The sequence below is a fragment of the Homo sapiens genome, chromosome 13 (assembly GCF_000001405.40).
Source record: "Homo sapiens chromosome 13, GRCh38.p14 Primary Assembly".
Lineage (NCBI taxonomy): Eukaryota > Metazoa > Chordata > Mammalia > Primates > Hominidae > Homo > Homo sapiens.
The window spans coordinates 42,424,327-42,443,586 of record NC_000013.11 but is presented as its reverse complement, the minus strand read 5'-3'; the positions used below and the strand labels follow the sequence as shown (position 1 = coordinate 42,443,586).

Below are 19,260 nucleotides of genomic sequence, written 5' to 3'. Positions count from 1 at the left end.
CTCAAAAAAGTTAAGTAATTTGCTCTTTGTCACAGAGCCAATTGGTGATGAACCCAGTTTCCTCAAATTCAGGTCTACCTTAGTATAAAGCCCTTATGTTCCTACTTGTTGACCCTTGGCAGGAGTTGAAGAGATGCCCTCCTCTCAAAGACCTTTATTTCAGCAGATGGGTCATTCCAGGATAAATAATGTGGGTGAATATCAGAAAATATGTACAAAATGCACAAGGACCACTCCTCAAGATAAAAGTTGACCTAATGTCTGGGGTTTAATCTTCGTCAATAATACTATGCTGACCTTCAAATGTCTTTCTCTAAATTTCACCATCACCACACTTCAGTGTATGATGAGGAGGGGCTTGGTTATTGAGAGAAGGCTCCAGTCTTATTTGCTATATACACATAATTGCTTATATTGCTTATTCCGATGAAATAACGAATACTAGGAATGCAGAGTGTGGAAAATAGGGTACAGCCAATGTTGAAATGAAGTTCAAAGCAATGACTAAAGGTGTTAACATAAAATTATTCTGGAAGAAGAGATTTGTTGGGGTGGAAGGGATGTGGACAATTGTGAAAAGAACTATGCCTGAGAGGGGGTGGTGGCAAAGACAGACAGGAACAGATCAGAGAAATAAACAGGCTTCAAGCATTCTGTGTCAGGAAAAAAAACCAACAAGGCCTTTACATCTTTCTCCAGAGCTGTCCTTGGGTAATTTCTAGCTCATGAATTCTCCCTGAAGGCTGCCAGGTGGACTTGGCCTGCACTTCTTTGAGGCTGATTTTGTGACTTCACTTCCCAGTTATAACCTGTGCTGGGAGCACATAGGATCTGGCAGACCCACTGTGAATTCAAGGCAGACATTCATGTAGATGACTGCATAAGGTAAAGTGTGTTGACTAGGGGAAAGAGCACTGATGTGGGAACTAGCAGACTAGGTTTTAATCTCATCTCTACCACTGCAAGTTTTCTAACTTCTCAGTGCCTCAGTTTCCCTAAGATTGGAGGAATAAGTGCAAATTATTGTAAGAAATGTCACATGAAACCATCTAGGACAATGCCTGGCACATGGCAGATGTTCTTTCACCTTGCATAGGTCTTTTTAATATAAGAAGGTATAAATCCTACCTACCTTGAACTTAAAACAAATTTTTCCCTTCCTCTCATAGGTTTTAGGTGAAAATTATAGTCCTCTTTGGAATCCATATCAAATTATTTTTAATATTTTTATGATACCAAATTTTAAACCTTTAATCATGGGCATGATTCTTTGGAAATATCTAAAAATCACTTAGCACCAAGCCTGGTGAATAAACTAGATAATATGCTTTTTTCATTAACAAGGAAAGAAGGGAGAGAAGAAAGGAGGAAGACAGAAAATTGCCCAAAGTACTGATTTTCTTGGGTGACTCAAACTGACAAAATGTTAGTCCAAAAAGAAGTTTCTAAAAATGGCAGCAATTTGGAATAAGAACCTACTTTGAAAGGAACAAGAAGATAACATTCATTTGGATATGAATGTCCTTTTGAACTTGACCAAAAAAAAGCATGCAGTCACACCTCGTAAGCCTCTGAAAACAGGAAAGAGGGAAGGGATCAGATGATGCAAAATCTCTCAGTCATCCTCTCTCAGATTCTACTGGGTTGGCTATGTCCTCCTTGTTGGCTGTGTGTATACAGTACCTCTATAAGGAAAAACAGACTGTAACATATTTACTCCTATTGTTTCCTCTGGTTTTACAAGCTTTCCTGGGAAATAGCACAGAAATACCAGTCTGAAAATTGAAGTTAAAGGAAGCAGATTCTAACACTGATTGTATATGTGATGTTGGGTGTTACTTGTCCTCTCTGAACCCCAGTTTCCTCCTCTGTTCCTCTGTAAAAGGGCAGGATTCATTTTAGGTCTGATTGGATTAATACAGTATTTTGCTCTTGCCTCACTCTGTTCTTCTCAGGGAAGCAACATGATTCTCACGTGTAGATGCGGAGGTGGATTTACCAGGAAGTCATAAAGCATGAGATTCAGGGCCACTCATCTGCACAAACTATTCCCTGGCCCTGGAGGTGATGATGTGTTCACAGGGTCATATATTTTTGTAAAATTTGCCAATGTAGGTACCTTGTGTGTTTTTTAAAATTATTTCTTTCTTTCTCTTATTATTATTATTATTTTGAGACAGGATCTCTCTCTCTCACCCAGGCTGGAGTGTAGTGGCCTGATCACAGCTCACTGCAGCCTTTAACTCCTGGGCTCAAGCTATCCTTCTGTCTCAGCTTCCCAAGTAACTGGGACTACAGGTGTGCTCTACCATACCTGGTTAAATTTTTTCACTTTTTGTTTTTGTAGAGATAAGGTCTTTCTATGTTTCCCAGGCTGGTCTCAAACTCTTGGCCTCAAGGGATCCTCCCTCCTCGGCTTCCTAAAGTTCTGGGATTACAGGCATGAGCCACCATGCCCGGCCCGTATTCTTTTTCTTTTTTTTTTTTTTTTTTTTTTTTTGAGACGGAGTTTCGCTCTGTCGCCCAGGCTGGAGTGCAGTGGCGCGATCTCGACTCACTGCAAGCTCCGCCTCCTGGGTTCACGCCATTCTCCTGCCTCAGCCTCCCGTGTAGCTGAGACTACAGGCGCGCGCCACCATGCCCGGCTAATTTTCGTATTTTTAGTAGAGACGGGGTTTCACCGTGTTAGCCAGGATGGTCTCGATCTCCTGACCTCGTGATCCGCCCGTCTCGGCCTCCCAAAGTGCTGGGATTACAGGCGTGAGCCACCGCGCCCGGCCTCTTTTCCTTAAAGAGGGTTTCCAACATTGCTTAAGGCTCAAGCTCCACAAAACCTGGATCTGCCCATATATAGAAGACATGTTTCTTCCAAACCCACCATAAAATTTAGAATTCATGGAAAGTAGACAAAACCATCAAGTGATGAAATAAGAAAAGTCCAGAAGCTAGCTTTAAAAGTGAGCACTTTCAAGTTCCTCTACCTCTCATCTCCTCTTTGACTTATTCTGTTTTTTTGTTTTGTTTTGTTTTGTTTAAGAACAAGAAGTGGAGACTTTAAATGGTAAAATGGCTGACCCAAATTCACAACCTAGATTGAAGTCATAAAATTTACTCCTGATAATAGTTCTCTGCTCCAGTACCAGGGGCAACAAAAACCCTGAAAGCATGTGGAGATCTACTTCACTAACTGCACAAATCACAAACTGCAGAGCAAAACCAGTGAAACTGGATATACAGCCAGTTGCCATTCCTTGAAGGCCAGTTGTCACATTCACCTCATGTTTTTCTACTTCATGTAAAATAGAGTATCCAAGAGCTGTTTTTCAGGCACAGTGGAGATTATTTCTACTCTCAATTACAGTGACTAAAATAGTAAGAAGTGCACTGGGAAGAGAGAATGGGCTGGCATTTATTTAATTAGTTTTCAAGACAGAGTCAGTCTTCACAAAAATGAATTGGGGGTGTGTGTGCTTAAGGTTCCTCCCATTTGCTGCATGCTCCCACGGCTTGCCTTCCTCACAGACATCTCTGGCTTGCCATCTTCACAGCCCCTGCCTCTGGCTTGCCTTTGGGGTATAACCAGTAACATGTGTTCTCCTGCTGCAGCCTCACAGGCCATCTTCAGGTTCTCGGAGCTTGAACCAAGTTCCCTGGACTGTCTGTGTACCCACACCTCACCAAGCTGCACGGAGTCTCAGCTCCTCTCCACATGGGGGGCATCAACCCTGGTGTATTCTATTCCCGCAGGGAAAACATAGTCACCACGAGATTACTAAACACAAATCTGACTTCAGCTGCAGGGAAGCCAGGAGAATTGTCCTTGGGGGGTAAACTACACACACACACACACACACACACACACACACACACACACACATATTTATTCAAGTTGTTGGGAATGTGAGCTACGATGTGATGTTTCACAAGCCACTTATGCAACGGTCAGCCTACTTCCTGAAATTGATTCCACTGGTGGTGCCAGTAGGAGAAATATATCATGGAAATTTTTTAAACAAACAATAATTATGCATGTATTAAACTCTACATTCCTTTGTCCATGAAATTCTTTCCTTCCCTATCTTGTTCACTGCTGTGCTTCTAGTTCTTTGCTCTGCCTCTACCCATAACCAATATTGTCCTCTGGAGACATTAGTTGTCAAACTCTCTTAACATTCATTCATAAAAATGTTTATTGAGTGCCTACCTTTTGTCAACACTGTGTTTTGCTCTTGGGGAATGAAAATTAAGAAGAAATGGCTCCTGCCCTTATGGATTATACAGTCCAGTGGGAATGATGAAGAAGTAACAGAAGCCACAGTGCACTGCAGTTAAGTATTGAGATCAGGTTTACTCATAGGATGTCTATATCTAAATCTATTCAAATGCTTTGAGGGGATGCCTGGAAGATATGTTCAGTGGAGTCTCACACACAATCCCTAGATGTGACCAAAGAAGCTCTGCAGTGATCCAAATATTTCATCTGGAGAGAACGTTCTACTGTTTTCAACACATAAAATGAATATCTAGTGCTTTGGTTTTCTATTGCTGCCACAAAAATTACCACAAACCTGGCAGCTTAAAACAACACTCATTTATTATTTCACAGTTTTATAGGTCAGATGTCCAGCAGACTAGGCTGGGATTCTGCTTAGGATCTCACAAGTCCAAACTCAGGGTGTCAAGGCTCTCCATGGGAGGTTCTAAGGGAGAATCCACTCTCTGGTCCATTCATGTTGTCGACAGAATTCATTTCCTTCTCATGGTTCCCATGTTTCCCCTCTGTCTTGAAGCCAGCAATGGTGGATTTAGCACTTGTCATACTTCACAGCCCTCTGACTTCCCCTGTACCTTCCTCTTATGATTTCAAGGGCTCATATGATTACATCTGGCCCACCTGGGTAATCCAGGATAATTGTCCTACTTTAAAGCTTTTTAGGAATAATTCATTGATACATAATATCTCACAAATCTATTTCTCTTCCTTAGGAAACATTTCATTTCCCCCATATTTTGTCTGTAGAATTTTTGTCCCAATCCTAAATAGGAAGTTGGCAGTTAACCCTAACACAATGAAAAAACAAAATTCTGTGGAAGTTCCGTTGTGAGAAAGAAATCCGTGAGAGAGATTAACAAGTTCTAAATTCTACACCTCATACCTGTTAGAATGTCTGTTATTTAAAAAGAAAGAAAAAAGAATAATGTGTTGGTAAGGATGTGGAGGAACTGGAACCAGTGTTGGTAAGACTGTAAAATGGTGCAATTACTATGGAAAATAGTGTGGTAATTCCTCAAAAATTAAAAATAGAACTACTATATGATCCAGCAATCCCATTTCTGGGTATATATCCAAAAGCATTGAAAGCAGGGTCTCAATATGTTCATAGCAGCATTATTCCCACAATAGCCAAAAGGTAGAAGAAACCCAAGTGTTCATCAAAGGATGAATGGATAAACAAAATGTTCTATATACATACAGTGGAATATTACTCAGCCTTAAAAAGGGAGGAAATCCTGTCACATGTTACAACACGGATGAACCTTGAAGACATGCTAAATGAAATCATCTAGTCACAAAAAGACAAATACTGTATGACTCCACTCATATGAGGTACCTAGAGTAGTCAAATTCATAGAAACAGAAAGTAGAATGGTGGTTACCAAGGGGCTGAGGAGAAGAGGAAAACTGGAGTTGTTATTTAAACTCCTGCAAGATGAAAAAGTTCTGGAGATCTGTTTCACAACAGTGTGAATATACTTAACACTACTGAACTGTATGCTATAAATGGCTAAGTGGTAAATTTTAAATAAGTATTAATATCATATTTTTTTAAAGCAGAACATACCAACACCAAGAGTGAACCCTAATTTAAACTATGGACTTTGGGTGATAATGATTTCTCAGTTCGGGTTAATTGGTTGTAACAAATGCACCATTCTGGTACAGGATGTTGCTAGTTTGGGAGGCTATGCTTGTGTAGGGGCAGAAGGTATGAGAATTCTCTATACTTTCTGATCAATTTTGCTGTGAACCTAAAACTTCTCTAAAGAATAAATCTAGTTTAAAAATAGTTCTGAGTTTTAGACTATGCAAACATTGTAAACATCCAAAAATACCTTCAGAAAAACTTGCTTATGCCATGGGTGAGGACGTCAGTGGATGGCCTCAAAGACAACATCGGTGTATTGTAACACAAGCCATAACCTATGGTCAATTCTTGTTCCTTTGGGAGTCACTCCTTTGGAAGAAGCAGAACTCCTTCTTTCTTCATCTGCAACATAAGGGAACACATTAAGTGACCACTAAGGCCAATTTGACCAGTACATAACTTTATGAGACTATGATTGTAGGTTCCATACATAATTTTCGTTGAGTGAAAGGTTGTAAAATAGATGACTTAACTTAGGATTCATGTTTGTGATTCATGATTATGTAATACTTCCCAGATTCCCCATTTAGAGATGTAACAACGACTGTGTCCATGAATTCACACCTAACTATAATTTGAATTTTCATATGCAGGACCTAAAAGCAATTAAGCTGTCCTTCCTTAAAAAAATATACAGCCACAAAACAAAGCTCAACAAATTTTAAAAGACCAGTATTATAGAAACTATCTTTTTCTAAAAGTGGTAAAAATAAACTAGAAATCAATAGCAGAAGGAAAACTGGAAATACACAAATAAGTGGAAATTTAAAAACACCACCTTAAACAACCAATAGGTCAAAGACGAAGTCATAAGAGAAATTAGAAAATATCTTGAGACAAATAAAAATAAAGCTTACGAGATGTAGGAAAAGCAGTGCTAAGAGGAGAGTTTATAGCTATAAACATACAATTAAAAGAAGAAGAAAGATCTCGAATTAAAAACCTAACTTTACACCTCAAGGAACCCGAAAAAGAAAAACAAACTAAACCTAATGCTAGCAGAAGGGAGAAAATAAAGATTAGAGCAGAGACAAATGAAATAGAAAATAGGAAAATAATAGAAAACTACATAAAACTAAGAGTTAGTTCTTTGAAAATATCAAAAATTGACAGTCCCTTCAACAAATGGTATTGGGAAGACTAGATATCCTCATGCAAAAGAATGAAATTGAACACTTATCTTACACCATGTTCAAAAATTAACTTGGGCTAATGACCCAAAGGTAAGAACCCAAACTTACAAAACTGTTACAAGAAAAAGGGGGAAAGCTTTATGATATTGAATCTGGCAATGATTTCTTAGAAATGACACGAAATAGGCAACAGATGCAAAATAGGTAAATGAGACTATTTCAAACTCAAAAACTTTTGTTCATCAATAGACACAATCAGCAGAGTGAAAAGACAACCTATGGAATGGGAAAAATATTTACAAATTATATATCTGATAAGGGGTTGGTGTCCAAAATATATAAAGAACTCCTAGGACTTAACAACAAAAAATCAAATAACTTGATTTTTAAATGGGCACAGGACTTGAATAGACATTTCTGCAAAGAAGATGTACAAGTGGCCAAGAAACATATGAAAAGATGTTCAACATCACTAATCATTAAAGAAATGCACTTCAAAACCACAATGAGATATCACCTCACACCTATTAGGATGGCTACTATCAACAACTCAGAAAATAACAAGTGCTGACAAGAATGTAAAAAAAAGTTGGAACTCTTGCATACTGTTGGTAGAATTGCAAATGGTGCAGCTGCTATGGAAAACAATATGGCAATTACTCCAAAAATTAAGAATAGAACTATTATATGATCCAGTAAGCCCACTTCTGGGTATGCATCCTAAATAATGGAAAGGAGGGTCTCAAAGAGATATTTGCACACCCATGTTTATAGCAGCATTATCCACAATAGTTAAGAGGTGGAAACAACCCAAGTGTCCATGGACAGATGAATGGATTAACAAAATGTGTATATCCACATAATGAAATATTACTCAGCCTTAAAAAGGAAGGAAACCCTGTCACATGCTACAACATGGATGACTCTTGAGAACGTTATGCTAAGTGAAATAAGTTAGTTACAAAATGACAAATACTGTGTGATTCTACTTACATTAGATATCTAAAGTAGTCAAATACATAGCTATAAAACATAGAATGAAAGTTACTAGGGAATGGGGATAGGAGACAAATGAGAATTGTTTTTTAATGGGTATGGTTTTAGTTCTGCAAGAAGAAAAAATCCTGGAGATCTGATTCACAACAATGTGAATATACTTAACACTACTGAACTGTACACTTAACACTAGAAAGTTATGACATGTGCTTTTTTCCACAATAAAAAAATACTTACAGTTCATATTTTTCACTCCAACTGGATACAGCCACATGGTTTTCATCTCTATCTCCAAATATATAGATATTTATTATGATTTGGTAGGTGAGACCTGTAAAAGAGGTGACAGAGTTAACGCTACACTTAGGAATGGCCTCAAGAGCAGTACAGCACCGTGGGCAACAGAGAGTACCAGATCACAACTCAAACTCATTGTCTCCAGCCCCATCAAGTCATGGCAGGGGCCACCAAGCTAGTTCATTCTATCAATGGGCAAATCTCCTACTTCATTATGTCAGGGTTGGATTCTGTTCCTGTCTTCATGGGACTCATAATTTCAAGTTTTTGTGTTCTCTCTGCTATCTTCCCTTCCAACTTGTTTTTCCTAGCTCTTGATGCTTCTATTCTCAAACTCTTCCAGAAACACATTCTCCACCCCGCTGAATGTTGAATGAATATTGGTTCTCCCTAAAGGATACCCCTTCTGCTGGGAATCCTCTAGAGAGATGCTGAAATTTTCTCAACAGTGGGCCTATAATATTGGTTGAATGAGTGAATGAATGAATAAATGAGTGAATAAGAGCCAGTCCATCAGTGTGGCTCTGCAATATTTTGTGGCCTCTGATAAGCCATAACTCCCACCCTTCTCAGAAGTTAAAGTCTTAATCACTTCTCACCATTCCTTTATCTTCCTTTATTTGTTCCTTCCCTTCAATATGTAGACATGTCCAAGTCTCTCATCTTAAAAAAAGTTTTCCTGGCCAGGCACAGTGTCTCATGCCTGTAATTCCAGCACTTTGTGAGGCTGAGGCGGGCAGATCACTTGAGGTCAGCAGTTCGAGACCAGCCTGGCCAACATGGTGAAACTTCATCTCTACTAAAAACACAAAAATTAGCTGGGGGTGGTGGCACATGCCTATAATCCCAGCTACTGGGAAGGCTGAGGCAGGAGAATCGCTTAAACTGGGGAGGTGGAGGTTGCAGTGAGCCCAGATTCTGCCATTACACTCCAGTCTGGGCAAAGAAGCAAGACTCCGTCTCAAAAAAAAAAGTTTTCCTTCAAACCCTACATCCTCTCTATCTTCCACTTTCTTGCCTTCTTTTCAGGCTAACTTTCTTTAAAATTGTGTCAGCACAATTTTAAAGCACAATTTTAAAGTAGAGTTATCTCTACTTTCACATTTCCTATTCTGTTATTTTTGAAAAATTTATTATGACAAAATTTATACATACAGACAAGCATACAGAATAATAACACTTCATATACATATCACACATTTTTAAATCTTAAATTTTATATTGGCTTCAACTCTTACTTTTTAAGAAATACAACATTTCAGGTGCAATTGAAGTTCCTGTATATACCACCATAATCTTACTTTCCCCTTTTCTCCAACAATAATTGCACCCTAATTTTAATATCTATCAGTCTAATGAAAGTTGCTTATATTACTAATACAAACATGTATATTCATATACAATTCATATTTATAAATTTTTGAAACTTTTTGTAAATAATATTCCTCTGTCTGAATATATTTCATTTATTAATTATTCAAAATATATGTACTGCATCCTTACTACATGTCAGGCACAACTTTGGGATCTTAGAATATATTAGTGAAACACAATCAAGACCCTCACCCTTCTGGACCTTATTGTTTTTTATGGAATTAGATCATCATAAACAATGAGTGTATTAGTCTGTTTTCACACTGCTATAAAGAACTACCTGAGACTATATAATTTTTTGATTCACAGTTACGCATGGCTGGGGAGGCCTCAGGAAACTTACAGTCATGGCAGAAGGCAAAAGGAAAGCAAGGATGTCTTACATGGCAGCAAGAGACAGAGTGTGAAGATGGGGTGCCACAAACATTTTTATTTATTTATTTATTTTGAGACGGAGTCTTGCTCTGTCACCCAGGCTGGAGTGCAATGGCACGATCTTGGCTCACTGCAACCTCCACCTCCCGGGTTCAAGCAATTCTTGTGCCTCAGCCTCTCGAGTGGCTGGGATTACAGGTGTGCGCCACCACACCTGGTTAATTTTTGTATTTTTAGTAGAGACAGGGTTTCACCATATTGCCCAGGCTGGTCTTGAACTCCTGACCTCAGGTGAGCCATCCACCTCGGCCTCCCAAAGTGCTGGGATTACAAGCGTGAGCCACCATGCCTGGCCATGTTAGAAAGTGATAAATACTATACAAAAGGTCATGAAAGCAAGTAAGGTGGGTTGGTAGTATCAGTTGCGGAGGAGGTGGCAATTTTAAATAGAGTGGTCAAGGCAGGCCTTATTGAGTTTGTGACATTGGATCAAATACTTAAAGAAGGTGAGAAATATGGAAGAAATGTGCTTCAGGCAGAAGGAAACATCCAGTGCAAAGGCCCCTGAGGTAGAGGAATGTCTACAATGTTTAAGGATCAGCAGAGAGGCCAGTGTGGCTGGAATGAAGCAAATCAAAGGAAGATCAATAAGATTATAATGAGGGCCAGATTACAGACAGCCTTGAAGGCTATGGTAAGAACTTTGACTTTGACTCTGAGTGCAATAAAGAGCAACTGCAGTTTTGACCAGAATGCCCCAGGTTAGCTGTATATGCTCTTGTTGATGAATATCTAGATTGTTTCCAATCTTTTATTGTTACAAATGACGACCTAATAAACATTCTTGAGCATGTCTTCTAGAGCCCATGTGCAAGTTCCTCTGGAGAATATACCTAAAACTGGAATATCTAGATCATAAGTATATGTATTTTCAGAGCTTATCAAATTACTCTGAAAAGTGGTTGTATTAATACCAATTTGTTATTCTACTTAGCACTGTAGGAGAGTTCTAGTTTATCCACTCATCCACAACATTGAGTATTTTCAGCTATTTTGTAATTTTTTATTTCAATGTTAACTAGTAAAGTTGGGCATTTTTAAATATGTTTATTGGCCATATGCATTTTATTTTTTGTTAATTGTCTATTTATATCCTGTTTTCATTTTGTATTGCTTTTAATGCATTTCTTATTGATTTGGGGGAGTTATTCATATATTATTGATATCAATATTTTATCAGTTATATGCATATATTGCTTTTTTTTTGCTACTGTAACAAATTGTCACAAACTTAGTAGCTTGAACAACACATATTTATTGTTTCACATTGCTGTAGATTGGCAGTTCAACATGGGTCTTAATGAACTAAAATCATAGTGTTGACTGGGGTGCATTTATGGAGCTTAGAAGGAAGAATCCCCTTTCTTGCCTTTTCCGGCTTCTAGAGGCCACCCCTCTTCCTTGCTCACAGCTCCTTCCTTCATCTTCAAAACCCAGCAATGTTGCATCTCTGACCATTCTTCCATAGTCATACCTCATCTGACCATAGCCAAGAAAGGTTCTCCATTTTTAAGGATTCATTCAGGATTATCTCCCCCATCTCAAGGTCCTTAACCTTAGTCACAAATACAAATTCCCTTTTGCAATGTAAGGTAACATATTCACAGATTCTAGGGATTAGGATGTCGAGAGAATGGTTTGATAAACCCCCATAAGCCCATTCCCCAGATTCAACAATTACCAACATTTCATCACATTTGCATTAGCTCTTTGGTCCTTGCTTTTTAAAATATTTTTTCAGTGAGGTACAGCTTACCTACAATAAAATACATAGATTTTAAGAGCAAGATATAGGACATTTCTATCCCCCAGAAGGTTTCCTCCTGCCCCTTTGTTGAATCCTACCCCCCATTGCCAGCACCGCCAGCATCCCCTAGGCAGCCATTGTTTTTATTTCCATCTTAAATGTAGTAATAGAATCTTTTGCAGCTGGCTTCTTTTATTCAAAATAATGTCTTAGAAGTGTGTTCATGTTGTTCCATGTATCAGTAGTTCCTCCCTTTTTACTGCTGAGTATTATTCTAATGCCTAAATATGCCACAATTTGCTTATTTATTCTGCTAGTCGAGGGACATTTTAGTTGTTTCAAGTTTGGGTTATTATGAATAGAGCCACTATTGATATTCTCATAAAAGTCTTTTTATGGACATATGTGTTCATTTCTCTTGTGTAAATACCTATAAGTCATGGGGTAGGTATATACTTTACTTTATAATAAAGTTCAGAAGAAATTGCAAAATAGTTTTTCAAATTATCTAATTTTACTTTCCCAGCAGCAATGTATGAGAATCACAGTTGCCCCACATCCTTGCTTACGTTTATTATTGTACATCTTTTTTATTTTAGCTATTTTACTTAGTATGAAGTGGTATTTCCTTGTGATTTTTATTATATTTCCCTAACGTCTAATGATGTTGGGCAGCCTTACATGAGCTTACTGGCCTTTCATAACTGATTTGTTTTTGTGTCATTAATCATTTTATTTTTGAGTTGTTAAGAGTTCTTTTTTTTTTTTCTTTTTTTTTATTATACTTTAAGTTTTAGGGTACATGTGCACATTGTGCAGGTTAGTTACATATGTATACATGTGCCATGCTGGTGCGCTGCACCCACTAACTCGTCATCTAGCATTAAGTATATCTCCCAATGCTATACCTCCCCCCTCCCCCCACCCCACCACAGTCCCCAGAGTGTGATATTCCCCTTCCTGTGTCCATGTGATCTCATTGTTCAATTCCCACCTATGAGTGAGAATATGGGGTGTTTGGTTTTTTCTTCTTGCGATAGTTTACTGAGAATGATGATTTCCAATTTCATCCATGGCCCTACAAAGGACATGAACTCATCATTTTTGATGGCTGCATAGTATTCCATGGTGTATATGTGCCACATTTTCTTAATCCAGTCTATCATTGTTGGACATTTGGGTTGGTTCCAAGTCTTTGCTATTGTGAATAATGCCTCAATAAACATACGTGTGCATGTGTCTTTATAGCAGCATGATTTATAGTCATTTGGGTATATACCCAGTAATGGGATGGCTGGGTCAAATGGTATTTCTAGTTCTAGATCCCTGAGGAATCGCCACACTGACTTCCACAATGGTTGAACTAGTTTACAGTCCCACCAACAATGTAAAAGTGTTCCTATTTCTCCACATCCTCTCCAGCACCTGTTGTTTCCTGACTTTTTAATGATTGCCATTCTAACTGGTGTGAGATGGTATCTCATTGTGGTTTTGATTTGCATTTCTCTGATGGCCAGTGATGATGAGCATTTTTTCATGTGTTTTTTGGCTGCATAAATGTCTTCTTTTGAGAAGTGTCTGTTCATGTCCTTCGCCCACTTTTTGATGGGGTTGTTTGTTTTTTTCTTGTAAATTTGTTTGAGTTCATTGTAGATTCTGGATATTAGCCCTTTGTCAGATGAGTAGGTTGCGAAAATTTTCTCCCATTTTGTCGGTTGCCTGTTCACTCTGATGGTAGTTTCTTTTGCTGTGCAGAAGCTCTTGAGTTTAATTAGATCCCATTTGTCAATTTTGTCTTTTGTTGCCATTGCTTTTGGTGTTTTGGACATGAAGTCCTTGCCCATGCCTATGTCCTGAATGGTAATGCCTAGGTTTTCTTCTAGGGTTTTTATGGTTTTAGGTCTAACGTTTAAATCTTTAATCCATCTTGAATTGATTTTTGTATAAGGTGTAAGGAAGGGATCCAGTTTCAGCTTTCTACATATGGCTAGCCAGTTTTCCCAGCACCATTTATTAAATAGGGAATCCTTTCCCCATTTCTTGTTTTTCTCAGGTTTGTCAAAGATCAGACAGTTGTAGGTATGCGGCGTTATTTCTGAGGTCTCTGTTCTGTTCCACTGATCTATATCTCTGTTTTGGTACCAGTACCATGCTGTTTTGGTTACTGTAGCCTTGTAGTATAGTTTGAAGTCAGGTAGCGTGATGCCTCCAGCTTTGTTCTTTTGGCTTAGGATTGACTTGGCGATGCGGGCTCTTTTTTGGTTCCATATGAACTTTAAAGTAGTTTTTTCCAATTCTGTGAAGAAAGTCATTGGTAGCTTGATGGAGATGGCATTGAATCTGTAAATTACCTTGGGCAGTATGGCCATTTTCACAATATTGATTCTTCCTACCCATGAGCATGGAATGTTCTTCCATTTGTTTGTATCCTCTTTTATTTCCTTGAGCAGTGGTTTGTAGTTCTCCTTGAAGAGGTCCTTCACATCCCTTGTAAGTTGGATTCCTAGGTATTTTATTCTCTTTGAAGCAATTGTGAATGGGAGTTCACTCATGATTTGGCTCTCTGTTTGTCTGTTGTTGGTGTATAAGAATGCTTGTGATTTTTGTACATTGATTTTGTATCCTGAGACTTTGCTGAAGTTGCTTATCAGCTTAAGGAGATTTTGGGCTGAGACCATGGGGTTTTCTAGATATACAATCATGTCATCTGCAAACAGGGACAATTTGACTTCCTCTTTTCCTAATTGAATACCCTTTATTTCCTTCTCCTGCCTAATTGCCCTGGCCAGAACTTCCAACACTATGTTGAATAGGAGTGGTGAGAGAGGGCATCCCTGTCTTGTGCCAGTTTTCAAAGGGAATGCTTCCAGTTTTTGCCCATTCAGTATGATATTGGCTGTGGGTTTGTCATAGATAGCTCTTATTATTTTGAAATACGTCCCATCAATACCTAATTCATTGAGAGTTTTTAGCATGAAGGGTTGTTGAATTTTGTCAAAGGCTTTTTCTGCATCTATTGAGATAATCATGTGGTTTTTGTCTTTGGTTCTGTTTATATGCTGGATTACATTTATTGATTTGCATATATTGAACCAGCCTTGCATCCCAGGGATGAAGCCCACTTGACCATGGTGGATAAGCTTTTTGATGTGCTGCTGGATTCGGTTTGCCAGTATTTTATTGAGGATTTTTGCATCAATGTTCATCAAGGATATTGGTCTAAAATTCTCTTTTTTTGTTGTATCTCTGCCCGGCTTTGGTATCAGAATGATGCTGGCCTCATAAAATGAGTTAGGGAGGATTCCCTCTTTTTCTATTGATTGGAATAGTTTCAGAAGGAATAGTACCAGTTCCTCCTTGTACCTCTGGTAGAATTCGGCTGTGAATCCATCTGGTCCTGGACTCTTTTTGGTTGGTAAGCTATTGATTATTGCCACAATTTCAGCTCCTGTTATTGGTCTATTAAGAGATTCAACTTCTTCCTGGTTTAGTCTTGGGAGAGTGTATGTGTCGAGGAATTTATCCATTTCTTCTAGATTTTCTAGTTTATTTGCGTAGAGGTGTTTGTAGTATTCTCTGATGGTAGTTTGTATTTCTGTGGGATCGGTGGTGATATCCCCTTTATCATTTTTTATTGTGTCTATTTGATTCTTCTCTGTTTTTTTCTTTATTAGTCTTGCTAGCGGTCTATCAATTTTGTTGATCCTTTCAAAAAACCAGCTCCTGGATTCATTGATTTTTTGAAGGGTTTTTTGTGTCTCTATTTCCTTCAGTTCTGCTCTGATTTTAATTATTTCTTGCCTTCTGCTAGCTTTTGAATGTGTTTGCTCTTGCTTTTCTAGTTCTTTTAATTGTGATGTTAGGGTGTCAATTTTGGATCTTTCCTGCTTTCTCTTGCGGGCATTTAGTGCTATAAATTTCCCTCTACACACTGCTTTGAATGCGTCCCAGAGATTCTGGTATGTGGTGTCTTTGTTCTCGTTGGTTTCAAAGAACATCTTTATTTCTGCCTTCATTTCGTTATGTAGCCAGTAGTCATTCAGGAGCAGGTTGTTCAGTTTCCATGTAGTTGAGCGGCTTTGAGTGAGATTCTTAATCCTGAGTTCTAGTTTGATTGCACTGTGGTCTGAGAGATAGTTTGTTATAATTTCTGTTCTTTTACGTTTGCTGAGGAGAGCTTTACTTCCAAGTATGTGGTCAATTTTGGAATAGGTGTGGTGTGGTGCTGAAAAAAATGTATATTCTGTTGATTTGGGGTGGAGAGTTCTGTAGATGTCTATTAGGTCCGCTTGGTGCAGAGCTGAGTTCAATTCCTGGGTATCCTTGTTGACTTTCTGTCTCGTTGATCTGTCTAATGTTGACAGTGGGGTGTTAAAGTCTCCCATTATTATTGTGTGGGAGTCTAAGTCTCTTTGTAGGTCACTCAGGACTTGCTTTATGAATCTGGGTGCTCCTGTATTGGGTGCATATATATTTAGGATAGTTAGCTCTTCTTGTTGAATTGATCCCTTTACCATTATGTAATGGCCTTCTTTGTCTCTTTTGATCTTTGTTGGTTTAAAGTCTGTTTTATCAGAGACTAGGATTGCAACCCCTACCTTTTTTTGTTTTCCATTTGCTTGGTAGATCTTCCTCCATCCTTTTATTTTGAGCCTATGTGTGTCTCTGCACGTGAGATGGGTTTCCTGAATACAGCACACTGATGGGTCTTGACTCTTTATCCAATTTGCCAGTCTGTGTCTTTTAATTGGAGCATTTAGTCCATTTACATTTAAAGTTAATATTGTTATGTGTGAATTTGATCCTGTCATTATGATGTTAGCTGGTGATTTTGCTCGTTAGTTGATGCAGTTTCTTCCTAGTCTCGATGGTCTTTACATTTTGGCATGATTTTGCAGCAGCTGGTACTGGTTGTTCCTTTCCATGTTTAGCGCTTCCTTCAGGAGCTCTTTTAGGGCAGGTCTGGTGGTGACAAAGTCTCTCAGCATTTGCTTGTCTGTAAAGTATTTTATTTCTCCTTCACTTATGAAGCTTAGCTTGGCTGGATATGAAATTCTGGGTTGAAAATTCTTTTCTTTAAGAATGTTGAATATTGGCCCCCACTCTCTTCTGGCTTGTAGGGTTTCTGCCGAGAGATCCGCTGTTAGTCTGATGGGCTTCCCTTTGAGGGTAACCCGACCTTTCTCTCTGGCTGCCCTTAACATTTTTTCCTTCATTTCAACTTTGGTGAATCTGACAATTATGTGTCTTGGAGTTGCTCTTCTCGAGGAGTATCTTTGTGGCATTCTCTGTATTTCCTGAATCTGAACGTTGGCCTGCCTTGCTAGATTGGGGAAGTTCTCCTGGATAATATCCTGCAGAGTGTTTTCCAACTTGGTTCCATTCTCCCCATCACTTTCAGGTACACCAATCAGACGTAGATTTGGTCTTTTCACATAGTCCCATATTTCTTGGAGGCTTTGCTCATTTCTTTTTATTCTTTTTTCTCTAAACTTCCCTTCTCGCTTCATTTCATTCATTTCATCTTCCATTGCTGACACCCTTTCTTCCAGTTGATCCCATCGGCTCCTGAGGCTTCTGCATTCTTCATGTAGTTCTCGAGCCTTGGTTTTCAGCTCCATCAGCTCCTTTAAGCACTTCTCTGTATTGGTTATTCTAGTTATACATTCTTCTAAATTTTTTTCAAAGTTTTCAACTTCTTTGCCTTTGGTTTGAACGTCCTCCTGTAGCTCAGAGTAATTTGATCGTCTGAAGCCTTCTTCTCTCAGCTCGTCAAAGTCATTCTCCATCCAGCTTTGTTCTGTTGCTGGTGAGGAGCTGCGTTCCTTTGGAGGAGGAGAGGCGCTCTGATTTTTAGAGCTTCCAGTTTTTCTGTTCTGTTTTTTCCCCATCTTTGTGGTTTTATCTACTTTTGGTCTTTGATGATGGTGATGTACAGATGGGTTTTTGGTGTGGATGTCCTTTCTGTTTGTTAGTTTTCCTTCTAACAGACAGGACCCTCAGCTGCAGGTCTGTTGGAATACCCTGCCGTGTGAGGTGTCAGTGTGCCCCTGCTGGGGGGTGCCTCCCAGTTAGGCTGCTCGGGGGTCAGGGGTCAGGGACCCACTTGAAGAGGCAGTCTGCCGGTTCTCAGATCTCCAGCTGCGTGCTGGGAGAACCACTGCTCCCTTCAAAGCTGTCAGACAGGGACATTTAAGTCTGCAGAGGTTACTGCTGTCTTTTTGTTTGTCTGTGCCCTGCCCCCAGAGGTGGAGCCTACGGAGGCAGGCAGGCCTCCTTGAGCTGTGGTGGGCTCCACCCAGTTCGAGCTTCCTGGCTGCTTTGTTTACCTAAGCAAGCCTGGGCAATGGCGGGCGCCCCTCCCCCAGCCTCGCTGCCGCCTTGCAGTTTGATCACAGACTGCTGTGCTAGCAATCAGCGAGATTCCGTGGGCATAGGACCCTCAGAGCCAGGTGTGGGATATAGTCTCGTGGTGCGCCATTTTTTAAGCCGGTCTGAAAAGCGCAATATTCGGGTGGGAGTGACCCGATTTTCCAGGTGCGTCCGTCACCCCTTTCTTTGACTCGGAAAGGGAACTCCCTGACCCCTTGCACTTCCCAGGTGAGGCAATGCCTCGCCCTGCTTTGGCTTGCGCGCCGTGCACGCACCCACTGGCCTGCGCCCACTGTCTGGCACTCCCTAGTGAGATGAACCCGGTACCTCAGATGGAAATGCAGAAATCACCGGTCTTCTGCGTCGGTCATGCTGGGAGCTGTAGACCGGAGCTGTTCCTATTCGGCCATCTTGGCTCCTCCCCCCAAGAGTTCTTTATACAGTCCAGATCTAAGTATTTTGTCAGATATAGGTATCACAAATATTTTCCACCAGTCTGTGGTTTTATTGATTCATTTCTTGTATATCTTTTAATGAGTATACTTTTTTTTTTGCTTTTTTATTGAGGTGTAATTGACTTACGATAAACTGTATATGTTGAAAGGGTTCAATTTGATGAATTCTGACACAGGCATACACCTTTGAAAACATCACTACAATCAAAATAATGAACATTTCTATCACCCCTAAAATTTCCTGGTGCCCTTTAATAATCCATACCTCCCTCCACCCCTATCCTCATACAACCACTTATCTTTCTGTCACTATATATTAGTTTGCATTTCTTAAAATGTTACATAAAATACATTGAATCATTCGGTATGTATTCTTTGTTATACCTAGCTTCTTTCACTCAGCATAATGATTTTGAGATGGATCCTTACAATTGTGTATATCAATAGTTCATCCCTTTTCATCACTGAGTAGTATTTCATTGTATAGATATACCATAACTTATTTATTTTACCAGTTGATGGCT

At 39.3% G+C, this 19,260-nt stretch overlaps 1 long non-coding RNA gene across 1 annotated transcript in view; it reads right to left on the bottom strand.

Moving 5' to 3' along the window:
- LINC02341 (long intergenic non-protein coding RNA 2341) overlaps nucleotides 1-18,695 on the bottom strand; it is a 61,065-nt gene extending 42,370 nt beyond the window's left edge. The window contains exons 1-3 of the long non-coding RNA NR_135319.1: nucleotides 18,609-18,695; nucleotides 8,294-8,387; nucleotides 6,115-6,269 (exon numbers count right to left, since the gene is read on the bottom strand). This is a non-coding gene — a long non-coding RNA (long intergenic non-protein coding RNA 2341). The remainder of the gene's footprint in view (nucleotides 1-6,114; nucleotides 6,270-8,293; nucleotides 8,388-18,608) is intronic.
- Nucleotides 18,696-19,260: the final 565 nt, after the last annotated feature.